The following is a 17,832-nucleotide window of genomic DNA, read 5'->3' as shown; positions in this document are numbered from 1 at the left end:
GATTTTAGTAAATCCTGGCAGATTGCTTTCTGAAAGGGTCATATAATTCACATTCCTAACAAGGATATAAGAGAAAGCCTGTTTTGTGATACACCCACTCACCTGGATTTTATTAATCTTATTTATGTTAATCTTATGGACAAAAAAATACTAGCTTCTTGTTTTAGTTTTTATTACCCTAACTCCTGGTGGGTTGAGCATCTTTCCTTATATTCATTGTCCATTTATATTTCCTTTTCTGTGAATATTTTGCTTGCTTTACTCATTTCTCTATTGGATATTATGGCTATTGAGGGGCTCTTTATTAGGCATAGTTTATCACATGCTGTCATGCTTTCATTCAATTTTTTTTTACTTCATTAATATTTGGTCATTCAGAACTTTTTAATTTTTATTACTCTAATCTATTTATCTTGTTTGTTATTGCTTAACAGTTTCTTTTCTAATTAAAAAGCCTTCTCCTAATCCAAAGGTTAGGGACATATCCCCAAATTTTCATCTATTTTCATTATTTAATTTTAATTCAGATACTTAATCCCTATGAAATTTATGAGTTTTTTTAAACAACTTGGGGTAAAGATTCTTTTCAATGCGAGACCATAAAATCCATGTAATAAATAGTACTAAATTTCACTTTTAGCATAAGTTGAATCAATGATTTTTCACACATACCTTAGCATTTCAGAAATATAAGAAAGTATAATTTTAATAATAGGTAAGATGGGAGAAAGAGAGAAAGCTACATATAAGAAAATGTATGGAAAACAGCAGTAGGTAGACTTTCATGGTAAAAGAAAGAGAAATAAAAAAGTCCTAAGTTAGAAAAGAAAATGCAAGAGGAGTAGAGAATATTGGAGAGGATCGAAACACCAGTGGCAGACTACAGCATAAGTAAGTAATGTTCTCACTAGATGTTAGGAGTTTGGAAACTCAACAGATGTTCAGAGGATAGATACAGGAGATGAGACAAAATGTCTGATCCACATGGTTTTGGTGGATCAGACATTTTGGTTCCACGTGAATTTTAAAATAGGTTTTTCTAGTTCTGTGAACAATCTCAATGTTAGATTTAGGTTTACTTTTAAGTCTTTAATACATCTTGAGTTGATTTTTTTATATGGTGTAAGGAATCCTCTGCATATTGACATAGCTGATTTCTCAAAAGATATTTTTTAAATATTAAGCAACTACTTGAATGCTAACACCAATAATACGAAGATGTTTCGGTTAGTGCCATGATATCTAGCTACATTTATACTTTACAGTTATTGGAATTTTCAATGGGAAAAATCTATAATTAGCAACGTTGTATAGATACATAATATATAATATTTTAAATAGATATGCAATGAAAACTATAAGAACATATAGCTGGTTCACAAATATTGGGAAATTTAAGAGCCAAAATTAAATTGGCTAGCTATTTTCTTTTGTTGTTTCATTAATGATGTTATTAAGCTATGCTTTTAAAGGGCTCTTTTGCATGCTTGGTGTTTTGAAACAGTGTCATTCTGAAATCAAATCTCATTGCTGATTATGGTTTTTTTTTACTCCATCGTCAGACTTTCTTATTTTCCATTCCTTTATTTTGATAACTTGCCTTTGTGTTATTCAAGGCATAAACATGTCTTTTAGTATGTGGAGTGTCAGCATTAGAGATTTTATCCAGCGAACAAGTAGCATGTATTAAAAATGATAATGACATGATGGATTCCTTGGAATACTCTGTTGAAAAGCCAGACAGCATTTCATTTCCAAAAGTGTGAGAGGCATATGTGACCACTGAATCCCAGACACCAGTACATCCTTTTTATTGACATGATTAAGAATCTTGCTGTTAGTATTTGGATGTGTTTCATTTGAACCTGCCTACACCTGTTCCCAGAGGGCAAACAATTGCCCAGGCTGTCACTCTTGTGACAAGTCAGCCTCATTTGAACTGCCAGCTAACAATTGTGTCGGCCTGCCTTGATGAATACACTGTGCTGAGCAGCCCATGAGTGATAGAGTGCTACTGGCTGCAAGCTGACTAAGAGAGGACCCTGGTTTAGGAATGATGTGTGAGACTTCCTATCATTTAAAAAGAACGACAGCTTCCTTTTCTCTGCATTTGTGTTGGCAACCCCAGGCACTAATTCACCAGTTGAAAATATATTGTCATAGATGAATGTTATAAGGTTGAGGGGAAAAGTATCATGTCACTGAGAATATACTTTTATGGACAGTTTGGATGATAGTGTCCATGAGTAAGAGGTCAACGGGTACAAAGTTACAGTTAGACAGGAAGAATAAGTTCTAGTATTTTACTACACAGTAGGGTGACTATAGCGAATAACAGTGTAATATATATTTCAAAATAGCTAGAAGAGAAGATTTTGAATATTGTCGCCACAAAGAAATGATGAATGCTTAAAGTGATGCATATGTAATTACCCCAATTTGATCATTATACTATGTGTACATGCACTGAAACATCACATTGTGTCTCATAAATATATACAATAATTATTTGTCAATTACAAATTTAAAAATTAGTAATGAAAAAAAAGACTAACTAGCTCCTTTTGAGAAAGATTAGACAGATTGAGATTGAAGTAGAGATAAAGAGACAGAGAAGAGACTTCTCCCAGAATATGAAAAAAAGAAAGTAAGACTTGAAGTCATTTTTTTCTAGTAAGAAAGATGATTTCATTCATGCTATTTTTCAATCTGTTGAAGAAGTAAATCTTATAAACTTTTAAAGTCCCAGAATCACAGTAATATTCTACTTAATTGATTTATGATTTTAAGAATCTCACCCTTAATCTTTTGGCTTCAATATGGGTTTGAAAAGAAGTATAGGGGTGTAGGCTTCTCCTGTGTTGAAATTCTTTGTGCTGTGAGACGCACCGTTGGACTTCAGTGTAATGTATCTGCTTCTTGGATCAGAGAAGATTATGGGAATGTTATAGATGGCTTCTGACCAAAGACTATATAATATGTGTGATTTTTTGCGTGGTCAATCAAACTTAAATGTTTCTTAATGGTAATAATTCCCCAATCCATAGTCACTTTTCAATTGTCGAAGTAGGAAGGCATAACTTCAGGTGAATACTTAAATGTAGAACTATCCTTTAATTCACACAAAAATACTTTTCTATGAAGTGTTTCTCTACAGTTTGAATCTGCCTTGTAGAAAACAAAGGCATTACATAGACACTCAGTGAACTCTTGTGAATGAAGGGCTGATTGAATAGATCAACAGATGAATGAAAATAATGTATACAGCACAATGTGACACATGATTTGATTGTATTATAAATATTTTAACAGTTTATTTTAATGTTTAGAAAGTGAAATTAAAGGTAAATATGGAGAACATTTTATTTTATTCTCCTCCTGCTATATCTGCATTTACCTGTGAATATGTATTCTTACATATACTTGTCTCCCTGATGATTTGAGACATTTCATCTGATAATAATAACTATCAGTATGTGGGCATATGTTCCCTCTTAAGACTAAAAACCAGTTACTGTTCATAGTTGGAATTTGATAATTTATATTTTTATTTTCATTAAGCACAGATTCATCCTACAACATTTATTGAGTATAAAGCACTTGTCTAATTAGCTATTACTGTACATGAAGATATTGATTGAACTGACATATAATATAAACAGTTTTTCTTGAACTTGTAAGTTTCATTAAGACAGAACTATTTATACAACTAATAGTAGGATATATAAATTCATGTGTCATGGCTAATTTGAAGAAATTAAGAGCAGCATATATGCAGATTTTGCTGTGAACTCTTGGACTAAGGAATAGGAAGGAGAGAATTGGATGGTATTAGAATTGAAAAGCATATTGGATCCACTGGGTTGGGATCCACGGTTATGTCACTGAGATCATTTAAATTTTTAACTTAATTTACTCATTTTAGTTTGTGAACTTAAACTGCAATTTCTGTAGGTGCTTCCAGCTAATAAACCAAAAACAAAGTAGTTAAAATCAGGACACTAATTAAGGAAATGGTGAATTTAAACTGTGGTAAAATTATGCTCCTTGCTAGCAGGTGAGAAAATGATTGAAAACTAAGGTCAGGTCTGGTCATTGGTTTAAAACAGACAATTTGGCTACTGATTGCAATAAGAGTATGGCAATAGTTTCTGAGAGAGTTATCAGCAGTCACTGTTAGAGTGAACCAATACCTTTATGAACATGTACAGTGGATCTATTTCCCTCATGCGAACGGAGGTGGATAATTAGTCAATCTCTGTTTTGAGTGTGTATTATAGGTAGAAGCAAGGACCAAGGTTTCTGTTTTCTTGTAGAACATTGCCTGGCACATAGGAAGTTCTCGATATGTATTTAGTGGACAAATGAATCTATGTAAGTTGGAAGGAAAGTGAGGACAACTCAGAACCTCAGTTATGAGGAGGGAGAGCAGACTTTATCCTGGATTTGCTGGACTGGTGTTGACTTTGGATGTGTGTGTGGCTGGTGCCCTTGGTCAGGCGTATCAAGCTAGCAATCAGGCAGTATAAACAGTGAAGACTGCTGGCATACAAAGCATACACACACACACACACACACACACACACACACGCCCCATTTTTGTGAGTGTCCCCACAGTGTTCTGTAGTTATTTGGTAAATAACTGAATAACATGTATATTTTCATAAAATAGCATCATGATAAATGTTATAAATAAACTAGGGAAGACTTTGATCGCTACCTTTTGCTTTTGCTTTGTATTCATATTCTGTGCCTCAGAATATTTTAAGTGGACTCTGAGCTTTGGAGTGGTGGACAAAGTTAAGAATGACCAGTAGAGATAAAAAAACAAGGACAGACTACACATTTCATGAGTTCTGATTTTTGAAAGAGAACAATTTCCTGTCTGTCAGTCTCAAGTGGTAACAGTGAAAAGTCAGCTAAGAGGAGCAATGGTGGGTCCATGGCTGTGGGTACTTCCTGTCTGAAGGCCTTTTAGCAAATAGAAGGGTCTTGGTTTTATTGCAGTCTATCATTACAAAAGAAGCATTTACAAAAACTTGCTACTTACTAGGTAATGGACATTGGGTACTGTTGAACCTCTTTGGACCTCTCTTTCTGGATCTCAAAATAGAAGATAATTATTATTTCATAGGATTAAATGAGATGTTTGTAAAGTGCTATGTCATGGTTTGGTTTATAGTAGGTGCATAATCATGATTGGTTTTATCTTTATCATGGTAGCTGTGATATCACTCAATATCACAAGAAAGAAATTACAAGAGAGAAATTTATTAGAATATGCTACATGTATGATGTCATAGAGGAAAAAAGACTATAAAGAAATAGTTATTTCATTTGATTAGGTTAAATATTTTTCTCATGTAATTTCTACAATTATGTAAGGAGAACAAGTAGAATTATCCCCATTTTACAGTTAAGAAAACAGAGCCTTAAAGAAATTAAATAGCATAACCAAAGTCGAAACTATTAAGTAGCTGAGCTGTGATTGGGACACCAGGGTTTGTCGTACAGGAGAATATGTTATTTTTTCTCAATCTCATGCTGTGTCAAACAAGATTTTAATTATAGTGATGCCAAAAAAGAAAGAAAGAAGCAGTTGTCAATGACATGAAAAGGGAAGAAGGGCCTGGAGAGCTCCTGACTGTGGAAAGAGAAAAGTCAAAGACCTTGCTTAGGACATGGAACAATGGCACCAAACTTGCTGGCTTCGGCCAAGACCTCACGCAATGAGTGCAGATCTTTTCTTTGCCAAAACAAGCAAAAGCAGGTTCTTATAGCATCACTACCAGAAGGGAATACATGAACAAATGGAATTGGGTAGGAGGCATAGCTGTTTATCAACATGCTTCCAAGATAATTTTTCCCTCCTAATGACAAAGCAAATTTACATACGTGCTCTCAAAGTTTTTTTTAATATAAGCATTTGCTTTATTTCTAAGAGAATAAATAAAATTAGTTTTGAAAATCCTATTTCATAACCCTGAAGCTTTTTTAGCTTTTTTATAGGCAAAGTCTTACCCCCGTGTCTGTGTATGTAAATGAGAGAAAGAAATGAGAGTGAAACTAAATTATAGCATGAGGTTAGGGAGAAATTTGAAAACTGAAATGAGTTTGTATGGGAGGTCAGGTGCCCTGGCCACTTCGAGGCCATTCATTCTCCTGATCTTTCTCCTCTGAAGGACTGACTCAAACTTGAACCAGAGTATATTTCAGCCCTTTGAAATAAAATAATACAATTAATGGAAGCTGCTAAAGAAAGGCAGAGGAGCACTCATTTTTAAAAATTATATGACCAACTCTCAGAGCTAAAAGTAGGAGTCATTTCCATATTCAGATGGTAGATATATTTTTGGAGTTCAGAAGGAGTATAACATTGAGTCCTAGCTAACTATGTAATTAATGAAAGCCATTGATTAAACTGCTAATAAATCAGAGCTGATGTTCTTTTTTTAAAGAAGAAACATAAGACTCTGAAGGGAAAGGGGAGTTCATAGACCCTAAAGTTTCTGAACGGATACAAATAAGATGGAGAAGAACTCTCCTTGATTTGCTACATTTTCTACCAGAGAGATGGCATATCCAGATTTTATAAAATGGAGAATAAAGAATGAGTAGCTAGAGTATGTGATTTATTTGAAAAATAGTGGTCATCTGGTGTTTGTCAAGGTATCAGGAGATAAAAGCAAATGGAATTAGACTTCAGGGGCTCTGTTGCTGAAAGGCTTTTTGAGTTTGTTTTTTACTGCTGTGTAGCATCTCTCAAATCTTTGTGGAAACTCTGATATGTCTCTGAGACTATATTTAAAATGCTAAGACCTGTCATGGAGAGCCGGCAGGGCTGGAGGCATGGAGAGAAGAGGATAAGCGCAAAGACAGGTATTTTTTATCTTAAACTCTGCATTAGCTGCTACAGCCATCGGTACAGCTGCCAAATGGAACTGAAAGAAATAAAGAAACAAAAAAAAGAGTAAGGAGTACAGAGAAAACAAAAAAATAGGCAGCATTTAAATGTAGGATGTTTTATTTGGAAGTATAAAAAAAACAATTACAGACCTAGACCTATTGGTTAGAAAAGCTAGATTGTATTTCTCTGGCCTGTAGCAATGTATGCAGTGATTTTTTATGCTGTCCAGCTTCCTTATTGAGATTCAGTGTGTATGGTACTTTACTGGAAATTGTTAAAACCTTTCTAGGTATTACATAAACCAGCTGTGGCTACCGTAAGTTTCTAGACTGCGAATCTGTAGCACCCTGTCGTCACACTGCCTAGATCTCCCAGAATCTCTTGCCAACTTTGTTCACCCATTTCCCATCTTCTGCTCCCTTCACCTTTTTCAGAGGACTGCCCTGGACTACTGGTGGTGCTTCACCCTCAGACTCAAAGAGCCTGGAAATGCCAGAGAGTTTACATTCCCCCTAGGGTGGCCCATAGCTAATGTCTGACTTTTCCGAAGTATGAAAGCCCAGCTCCTGCCTAATATAAATTACATCCTAATATAGCTTACATGTCAGAAGTGCCCATGGGATCAGGTTGAGATTGAGATGGGGCTTGAAATATCTCCCTTGATTGATTTCTGCCCTTCCTTCCCTTGCTTCTGCTACTCCCTTAAGAGTTCTCCTGGAGCACATCTTAAATACTTTTCTCACACATGAATCTTCATCTCAGCTTCTGCTTCTGCAGAGCTCAAAATAAGATAAAATCTCCATCTATGTACACACACACATGCAAGTGTCACCTAAAAATATTTGTCTATGTACTGGCCAAATACACAGATCTTACTGTGTCCATATACCAAGATATACTAGGATGGTGGATAGTACAGTAGACAAAAATTTAAGTTTCATGCACACAGAATACTGTGGTGATAGAATGAAATAAATTTTTTTAAAAAAAGCTTTTGTTGAAGAGACAAAGGATTATTCATTTTTTTCTATAACAAAGTGAATATTTATAAAGCGTTTTCAATAAAAAATGGCTTTCAAAAAACAACAAAAAAACAGGGATGGTTGATAGTTAAATGTGATCTCTTGAAAATTTCTATATACTCATATATTCCATTGATTTGATAGGTTTTCCTTATCCTAACAATGATTTAGACCAGGGATCTAATCCCCGGGCCACGGACTGGTACAGGGTCCATGGCCTATTAGGAACCAGGCTGCACAGCAGGAGGTGAGTGGTGGGGAAGCCAGCGAAGTTTTATCTGTATTTACAGCCACTTCCCATCCCCTATCGCTGGCATTACTGCCTGAGGTCCATCTCCTGTTAGATCAGTGGAAACATTAGATCCTCATAGGAGCAGAAACCCTATTGTGAGCTGCACATGCCAGGGTTCTAGGTTGTGAGCTCCTTATGAGAATCTAATGCCTGATGGTCTGCCACTGTCTCGCATTATCTCCAAATCTGACCGTCCAGATGCAGGAAAACAAGCTCAGGGCTCCCACTGATTCTATATTATTGTCAGTTGTATAATTACTTCATTATATATTACAATGTAATAATAATGGAAATAACGTGCACAATAAATGTAATGCACTTGAATCATCCCAAAACCATCCCCACTCAACCCCAGTCCATGGAAAAGTTGTCTTCCATGAAACCACTCCCTGGTATAAAAAAGATTGGGGACCACTGAGTAGACTATATGGGAAAAGGATATCAGGTCTATATTAAACTATGTTTTAAAATTTTTAGTATTATTAATTGCTAACATAATTTTTACAATTAAACCAATTGCTTTACAGAACAACAACAATGTCATCACTTTTATTTTTTGTAGATATGAAAACTGCTTCATCAACCTCATCCAGAAGTCACCCTTATTCTAGTGACAGTGAGGATGAATCTGCAGTGGGGGACAGGGAAGCCCACACTGACAGCAGCACAGATGAAAGTGCCAGAAGGTCATCTTCTCAGGAACTGAGTGAAAATGATAAGCCAAGAAAGTCTCACCTTCCAATTGAGGAATCCTTAGAAATTGAAATTGAAGACCAAGAAATAACAAAAGCAGATGTGGAGACCAAGCCGATGCCAATAGACGAAAGCTTTGAGAATGTTCTTAAAGAAGGAACGGAGAAAGGAACCCAAGAGATTGCAGAGGGTTTATCTGAGAAGTCCGGGAAACATGTTTCTGCAGAAGAAAAGGAAAAGGATAAGAGTAAGCTTTGGGAAGAAAGCACTGCTCAGGTGAAGGACAAAAAGGCAGGTCTCCCTGGGTTGGAGGAAGGTGGTAAGTATGGCCGTTGAGTTGAGCTGCCATCATCCTCATGCATGGAAGCTGATTTTGGTCATTGCACTATGCCAAAGCTTGGGAAATACTACTGTGACAATGCTTTAGGGATTCAAGATTTTTTGCTGTGTCTCTCTTTGTCACATAATCATACATGTATTTTCAGTTTGCTGTTTGCCTTCTCTTGCACTTAAAAAATTACTCGATAATTTCTATCCAGCCTGTTTCCTATTTTCGGTAAATTCCCTCCTATGGGAATTCCATCTCAGGAATGAAATAAAGCACAGTATGTGTCTGAAGGCAAGGATGTGTGTGGCTTTTAGAGATTATTTAATACTAGAAATACTATTTGTTTTTAGCTATATATGGAGTTTCAGATATATAGCTAATGTTAATAGGTGCTTACTACGTTCCAGGCATGGTTCTAAACACTTAGATATATTAACTCATCACGTCCTCACAAAAATCCAGTCTCCCTCTAAGTTACATTCTATTATCATCATCTCTTTTTTACAGATGAAAAATGAAATGTAGCTTCCAAAGGTTAAATAAGTTACCAAAGATTACACAGCTAAAAGAGGCATTCCTAGGATATGAATTCAGGCAGAGTTGTTCCAGAACTTATAAATATTGCCTATTGCGTCTGTGTAATATGAATTTAGATTTAGATAATAGTGTAAAATTTTCTTACAAGATTCCAAACTTCCCTTTGAGTTCTCTGAAACTGAGTTACTTTCTGATCCCTGGGGCTCCTGGGTGTGTAAGATTGTTCATTTGACATGGAAACAGTAAGGAGTGTCAGGATAATCAGGCCCCAGACCTTAGACACATGGAAGGTCTGATGCTTTTCTCAAGTTGAGGAGCACAGTGGAAGGGCTGAGGGGTGTCCTGTGGAGAGCTGGATTGCACCTGCCCGATGCTTGCCTCTCACCTAGCCTCCTGTGCCCTGGAACTGGTTCACAGTCCTTTGGTTGCTCTCTCTCATCTGTCTCCCCTGTCAATGCAGGAGCCATTCTTGATTTTAAGATAAAATTTATTTTCACATTTTAATATTACTAAAATTCAGCTGCGTTTTAAAAGCATATGAATGCTTTTAGCGTCTATGTTACTTTTAGACCCTTAAAAACTACTGTTAAACCACTGGGGTCTACTAGGAATTGAAGATGTCGAATAGTTATCTATTACTTCAACCAATATTATTAATCTTCTACTATGCACAAGGCACCATAGTCAATAAAAAATGTGTAAGACAGAGTTTCTCTCATAACTTGCTGAGTGGAAGCCTTGGCACACCACCAGACAAAGGTTAGTAGTCCCATGTAAAATAGAGAAGGTAAAAAATGCTATGTGGCTTCAAAGGAGAGAAGTCCTGTTTGTTAAAAGACACCTTGAAAGTTTTCACGAAGAACGTATTTGAGAAACTTTAAAGGTTAAATACAATTTTGAAGGTGGGATACAGGAGGATAAAGGTGTTTTAGATAGTGGAGTATAGCAATGCATATGACCTTTGAATAAGTTACCAAAAATAACTCTAGAACAGAGTTTGACAAACTTTGGCCCAGGGGCCAAACCACTACTATTTTGTCTTGTTTTCTAAATAGCCTGCAAGCCAAGAATGATTTTTGTATTTTTAAATAGCCCACAAAATCCTAAGAATTTACAAACTGGGACTTTAGAGATAAAGTTCATAAACCTCTGCCCTAGAATAAAAATGCAAAGACCCTGAACATCTTCAAAAGGATTTTTGTCATATATAAATCAAGATTCTAGCTCAAATATATTTGAAACCCTTTTATAAAATAATTCAAATCTTTGATCTTGAATTTCATTATGAAATTTTCATACATATAAGGTATCATCTAGAAAATGTATACAAGCTGACAAGCTGCTAATCAAAAAGGTAGAGGTGTTAAAGGTCAATAGAAACACTAACATTATTTTCATTTTTTAAATTTTCACTTCAGAGAACCAGATTGTTTACCTGAATTTGTGTAAGTAGACATCTTTTTGTAAAGTAGGATATACATAATGAGGGTCATAATTAGGCTGTAGAATATCAGAGATGTAGCACTATGATCATGTCACCTGGAAGACAGTAGTTTTTTTTTCTCTGGGTTTGTAAAATGAAAAGTGTATTGGCTTATTAATTTTCTCAAATATATTGGGAAACCTATGGTCTTGACTTGATAACATCTATAATTTTAAAACATTTTGTTATCTTTTTATTAAGGTGGATTCAACACAAGATGGCAAGGTTTGGGACTGTTTATCTTTGATTTTAATTTTTTTTTTTTTTTTTTTTTTTTGAGATGGAGTCTCATTCTGTCACCCAGGCTGGAGTGCAGTGGCACAATCTCAGCTCACTGCAACCTCTGCCTCCCGGGTTCAAGCAATTCTCCTGCCTTAACCTCCCGAGTAGCTGAGACTACAGGTGCTCGCCACCACGCCTGGCTAATTTTTTGTATTTTTAGTAAAGACGGGGTTTCACCGTGTTAGCCAGGATGGTCTCGATCTCTTGACCACGTGATCCACCCGCCTCGGTCTCCCAAAGTGTTGGGATTACAGGCATGAGCCACCATGCCCAGCCTGTTTATCTTTGTTAAGCCGTAATATATGTGCGATTATTAATTTTTTATTAACAAATAATACACATGGAATAATATTTAGACAATAGAGAAAAGTAATTTTGAAAAATTACTCATAGGTTTATCACACACAAAAAGATCACTTTTAACATTTGGTCGGGCTCTTTATTTGTCAACTTAGGATTTACAAAGTTTTGTTTTCATATTTTGTAAAATATATGCTGCTTTATATCTTAACATTATAACGTGATCATTTTTCACATCTTTAATCTTTATGAACATATTTAATCTCTGTGTGTTATGCCATTCTGTGGTTTTCTCATAATTTAGCCATTTCCTTATTGTTGGACATTTATATTTTTTCTTACTTTCACTATTGTTATTAGTACTTTAGTGTCTTATTACTAAGATTATTTCAAATTTATAAACATTTTCTTAAGATAAATTTCAATAAGTATAATTTTTGTTCAAAAGTTATAGATATTTTAAGGTTTTTGATAAACTTTTTTCTCACAAAAATTTGGTTTAAATGTTTAAACATTACAGAACAGAGAAGAATAAAGTGAAAGTGAAAGTCTTTCTCGCCCAACCTTTACTCTTTTTCTCCAGGGATAACGGTGGATAGCAATTTTTTGGTGTGTGCATGATTACAGAAATTATAGGTAGGTAGATAGGTATAGATATATTAATATATATTGCTATATTACAAAGATACATATACATATGTTATTTTTATGTATAGATGGAAACATACTATACATTTTGTTCTGAGACTTGCTTTTTTCACTTAACACTGTATCTTGAATGTCTTGTCACATAAGCACACTTCTCTTTTCTTCTTATTCACCTTATCTGTTATTCTTATATTGCCACAGTATTGTATAACTGCACGTTTTCTTTAAAATATGTTGCCTTCTGTGTAAGAACTCATAGTTTTGTTCTATTGTTCATCTTCCACAAAAGAACAAAATTTGAGGGTTGTGAAAGCCAGGAAATATAGAATCAGGGAATATAAAGCATAAGACATTAACAGGTAAAACAGAACAAAGACCATGTATAATATTCAGAATGATGTGGAAGGATTAATGCTATCAAAAACCTGAGGCTGAGTAAATTATAACAGTTGGGGGGCTAATGTTTTCTAAATACAAATACTCAGGGAAATGATTCAATAAATTTGTTAATATTTTAAATAATAGATTTAAAAGTCAAAAATATTCTTGAAATTTTTTGTATGAATAACAATTTCTAAGAAAATTCCACATAAAATCACAAAATATGCACACATATATATTGTACTTAGATCCCTGACTGGAACTGTAGGTAGAAATGAAAGAGGGCTGAGAGAATGTGTAAATGACCATGTCCCACATTTGTATGGTATTTAATTATTTTTCAGTTAGAATAAAAGCTGTTATTATGTTAAAGAATAATCTATGTTACAAATAAATCTGTGGGCTAAAAATCATATACAATTAATGATGTTTTATAGACTCTAAGCTAACATGATTTAATTTGAATTGTTTTTACTTGAGATCATAGCAGTGGATAAATGAGTAAAGTACAGCCATTGCCTTCATACCTTTTAGGTTGATTGCATAAAATGATATTTTCCTTCTCACTATTTTATAGTATGTCATATTTAATTGGACTTTGTCCAGTCCATCAACAAATCAGATGAATTGAATAAAAGATGTACTGTACACAGTGAAGCAGATAAAGTAAAAGATTATAATTGCTAGCTGCAATCAGACAGTGTTCTTGGGTGTTAATCCAGTATTACAGGGCATAGTGTTATTTTAATGTTTATTTTTCTGTTATTTTCAGCTTAAGCTGTCATGCATTGTGACACAATCTTGGCAATATGTTCTAATAGTGGAATAACTCAAGTGCATTAATTTGTAAACTTAATTTAATTTATACATCATAAATATAAATGAAATAAAGAGTAGTGTATTTAATGTAAATTATAATGTCAAATGCATATGGGAATAAGCATTTTCTATTTTTGTATGTGAATCAGGAAAAGTCATAGTGCTTGACCAGGCAATTTGAACTTAAATAATAGTATAACTAAAATGAAATGCAATTTTGTCATCAGGCAGGCAGGATAAAATGGTCCTGATGAAAGAACAAGAAAGTCAAGTGTTATGAGTTGAGGTCTAAATACAATTTCTGAATGACCTGTGGAAGCATGTGGTTGTTCTAATAGACCTCTTCAGTCCCTAAATATTTGCTGAGGATCTGCTTTATGCCACACACTGTTCTCAATGTGAACATAAGAGTCCCTTTCCACATGAATTTTATATTCTAGGAGAGAGATATGCCTGCCAAGTGAAAAATAAGCATGTGATGGGGTATCTGGGCTAAGTAATAGAAGGAAAATAAAGCAGGGTAAAGGGATAATAGAGTGATGGTTTGAGGAAGGGGTAGTATTTTTGGGATGGCCTCTCTAATAATCGGACATCTGAACAGAGATGAATGAAGTGCAGGGGGAGGCCACTCTGTCATCTGCAGAAAGACCACAGGGAGCAGGGGTCCAGCAAGTGCAATGGCCCCAAATTGGGAGCATAGCTGCTGAATGAAGGAATTGGAAATGAGGCCAGTGTGACAGAGTCTAGTAAACAAGTAGAGTAGTACAAGATGAGGTCAGAGGAGGAAGCTCATAGGTCATGGGGAGGAATTTATTCTGAGTTAGGAAATCTTTCCTCTAGGAAGATGTGAGACCACAATGGCATGATCTGAATGTTTCGAAAAGATTATTCTGGCTACTATATGGAGGCTAAACTTTAGCATTCTCTGCAACTGTCTTTGAACAGCTGTGGTCTTCGGTTTGTAATTAATCCTGGTATTTTGTGGGCCATGCATCAATGTCAAAGATGACAGAAGAACATCTTCACTGTGTAGGTAGATGATGTTAATCATGAATTTTGTCATGGTGAGTTGTTGGGAAGGTAATCGACTGGCTACACAAAGAATGATGAAAGCACAGGGATACTTTTCAAGGTCACCAGGAACTTGGAATAAGTTGGGCATATCTTTATGGTGTTTTTATGGCATTCTTTCATTCTTAAAATACAGATGAAAATTCTTGACAAAACCCTCTTCTGATATTCAGTTGCTCAGGATTCTTAACATGTTTTAAGATGGGATCAATTTGGTTTGTTTAAAACAGTATAGGAGAGAGAATGAATTAGATGTCATTGAGAATACACGATAGGAAATGTAAAAGATGTAACGTATACCAAATTAGAGCATTTGTATTTTGACATTTGAGAACCTGGAAGAAAGAACCGATAATGAAGATTCAAGTAAGCATGAAATAGAATAACCAGTATTTTTGTTTCAGGGCGTAAACCATTTATTAAAGTTTTATGTATTAGTGGTTCTACTTCTCCTTACCTTTCTACTGCCCAAACCCCTCAGACACTATTGGCTAGAAAATACGTAGCACAGTTGACCTGCTTATCTGAAGTTTCAGTTACTCATGGTTAACCTCAGTCTGAAAATAGGTGAGTACAGTATAATAAGACAGACAGAGAGAGAGAGAAGGAGAGAGAGAGAGAAAGAGACCACATCAACATACCTTTTATTGTAGTATATTGTTATAATTTTCTATTTTATTATTAGTTATTGTTGTTAATCTCTTATGTACTTAATTTATAAATTAAACTTTATTATAAGGAGGCATGTATAGGAAAAAGCATAGTATATATAGAGTTTGATACTATCTACTGTTTTAAGCATCTGCTAGGGTTGTGGAATGTATATACCCTGCAGATAAGGGGAGACTCCTATACTGTAAAAACAAACAAACAAACAAAACCCCTGAAGCCCCCAAGATATACAGTACATTGAAGCTCTTGGATGATTTCTTGAACTTTCCTTCTTATGCCTCTGCATATTTTCCTCTTCATCTGCTCTGGCCGACAATGACATCTAAAGCTTTACCATGGAGAACTGGCAACTACAGGACAGAAATACTGTGGCTTTGTTCTGCCCCCGTTTACATTGTTTTAAAGGAGAAAAATGGCCTAGAGGATGTGTAAAATTGTGGGAGGGTCAGGGGAGAAAAGAGAAAGAAAGAAACAAAATAAGCACAGAATTACAAAAAAATCAGAAAAGAGAAAATGCTACCCTGCAACTATGTTTGGCCTGAAAAATTACAACTTTCATCGTCATCATTCTAAATATTTTTTTGTTAAATCAAAGTTTATGGTAAAAAATACCTGAAAAATTCCAAAATATTCATTTAAACCACATAAATAATGCTTCAAAATGATCATAAGAATGTTTTTTGTTTAGTAAATATTTAATATTTCAATTTGCATCTTGACTAGTAGATATTAAAGTATCAACTTTTACATCCCACTTGTGATGGCCTGAATTTTCATATGTTATTTGATTTGTTTCCACAAAAGCAGTTGAATTATTGCAGTGAGTTTCTAAGTTTCTACATTAACATAGCAGCAAGTGATATGAAGGCTATAAATCGACTTTTAGGGAGAATGTTAATTAGAAACACTGTGAAATTTATGTCATTTGGTAATATGAATTCAGGTACCTGATTTTTTTTCCCTGTTGTATTTTAAATGAGGAAGAAAGTATAAAAATAGCAGTTTAAATGTTTTACAAAGTTTAAAAAGTGTGTTTTTATATCTAAAGAAGGTACCATCCAGATGTCACAAAATCCAAGGAATTTGCTACATGAGGGCAAATTAGAGAAAGACATCAGGAGCTATCTTGTGTTTGTTTCCCATGAGAAAGAGGAGCATCCTCATAGAAGTTAAAAAAGAAATCATCCTAGACTTAAAGGATTAGAAGAGGCTGGAAGCAGGGGTGAGCCGTGAGGAAGTAAAAAGCCGGTGTGCTGGCCTCTAATTGTTCAGTGTTCTCCACTGTTGCCACCATCCCAGGAAAGCTTGTGAGGCAACACCAACAAAAAGTCAGCTACACTGGTGGGTAGAGAGTCTTCTCCCCTGAATTCATAGAGGCACTTCCATAACAAAGAAGATGGCAATGTCAAGACTAGAGTAGCTGTCTAACCAAGCCTGGAAGCTCTTGCAACCACAGAAAAGTAACGCAGTGAATTACATTTCTGCTAAGAGGGTTCAAAGCCCCACTTTCCTTTCCTTTCTCCTCTAGCTCTTTGGTCACTGAATTGGAATTGGAAACTATTTCAGCTTAACGTTTTTGAGGAAAATCTGCATCCCAATGGGATTTAAGAGCATTCAAGAAGCTATCCACTCTCTTAGTGGAAAATACAAAATGAATAACGCTCATTTGTATATAAATATAAACATCAGTCCTTTTCATAATACATAAGGACATAGAAAAAATGATTAATATAATTTAGAAGGTTGGTTTATCATGTAACTATTATTCTCCATGTGCCTTTTTTATAGCAGCACAGAGCAGAATTTGTTGAATCCACAGTAAATGATAACAGTGCAATAAAGCTATAAATTATTTACAAAATATAATTAACTCTCACCAGAAAAATTGAAAATTTAAAAGCAGTACTCTAAATAATTCTTGGATCTAAGAGAAAAAAATTCACTGGATAATTAATTAATTGCAATTATTAGTGCCAACAGGTGGTATTTGTAAGGTGACCAATTTCTCACTATAGCCTCAAAGAACCACCCCACTCACACTATAACAACAACAACAAAAGTAATAAACCGCAATGGAGAAATACTCATAATCAGACTTTAAGAAATGTATAAGAAGGAAAAACCTAACACATGGGCTTAATAAGAAAAATATGCTATTCCACACAAAGCAGATGAAAAAGAAATATGATAAATGGGAAATCACTCCAACTATTTGAATAGAAGACTAAAGATGATGATAATTTTTGCCAGATTAAATCCAAAATTTGTTGTAGAACATCTGCAAATCCTAACAATAATAGTTTGGGATTTGAAAAAAATTCATTAATTTGGAAGAAATAGTACTGAGTAATGTGAAATTCTTTGCAATAACAGAAATAACATACGACTATACAGGAA

General features: G+C 34.8%; 1 protein-coding gene and 1 long non-coding RNA gene across 6 annotated transcripts in view; one reads left to right on the top strand and one right to left on the bottom strand.

The window, feature by feature from the left end:
- Positions 1–17,832, top strand: part of ERICH3 (glutamate rich 3) — a 106,221-nt gene that overhangs the window by 75,480 nt on the left and 12,909 nt on the right. For 2 of the 4 annotated variants that reach the window (NM_001002912.5, XM_017000275.2), the window contains exon 12: positions 8,784–9,233. In NM_001002912.5, coding sequence (NP_001002912.4) covers positions 8,784–9,233 — 450 coding nt within the window. Of the gene's footprint in view, positions 1–8,783; positions 9,234–12,427; positions 12,481–17,832 lie in introns of those variants that run through there. The other 2 variants (XM_017000277.2, XM_017000276.2) reach the window with 1 other exon arrangement.
- Positions 1–17,832, bottom strand: part of ERICH3-AS1 (ERICH3 antisense RNA 1) — a 48,669-nt gene that overhangs the window by 27,235 nt on the left and 3,602 nt on the right. Inside the window, exon 1 of one of the 2 annotated variants that reach the window (NR_121670.1) lies at positions 8,957–9,129. The exons of the other annotated variant lie outside the window; for it this stretch is intronic. This is a non-coding gene — a long non-coding RNA (ERICH3 antisense RNA 1). Of the gene's footprint in view, positions 1–8,956; positions 9,130–17,832 lie in introns of those variants that run through there. 2 annotated transcript variants of the gene reach the window in all.

This window comes from Homo sapiens, chromosome 1, assembly GCF_000001405.40.
Source record: "Homo sapiens chromosome 1, GRCh38.p14 Primary Assembly".
NCBI lineage: Eukaryota > Metazoa > Chordata > Mammalia > Primates > Hominidae > Homo > Homo sapiens.
The sequence above is the reverse complement of the archived record's forward strand: the minus strand, read 5'-3'. Positions and strand labels throughout refer to the sequence as shown.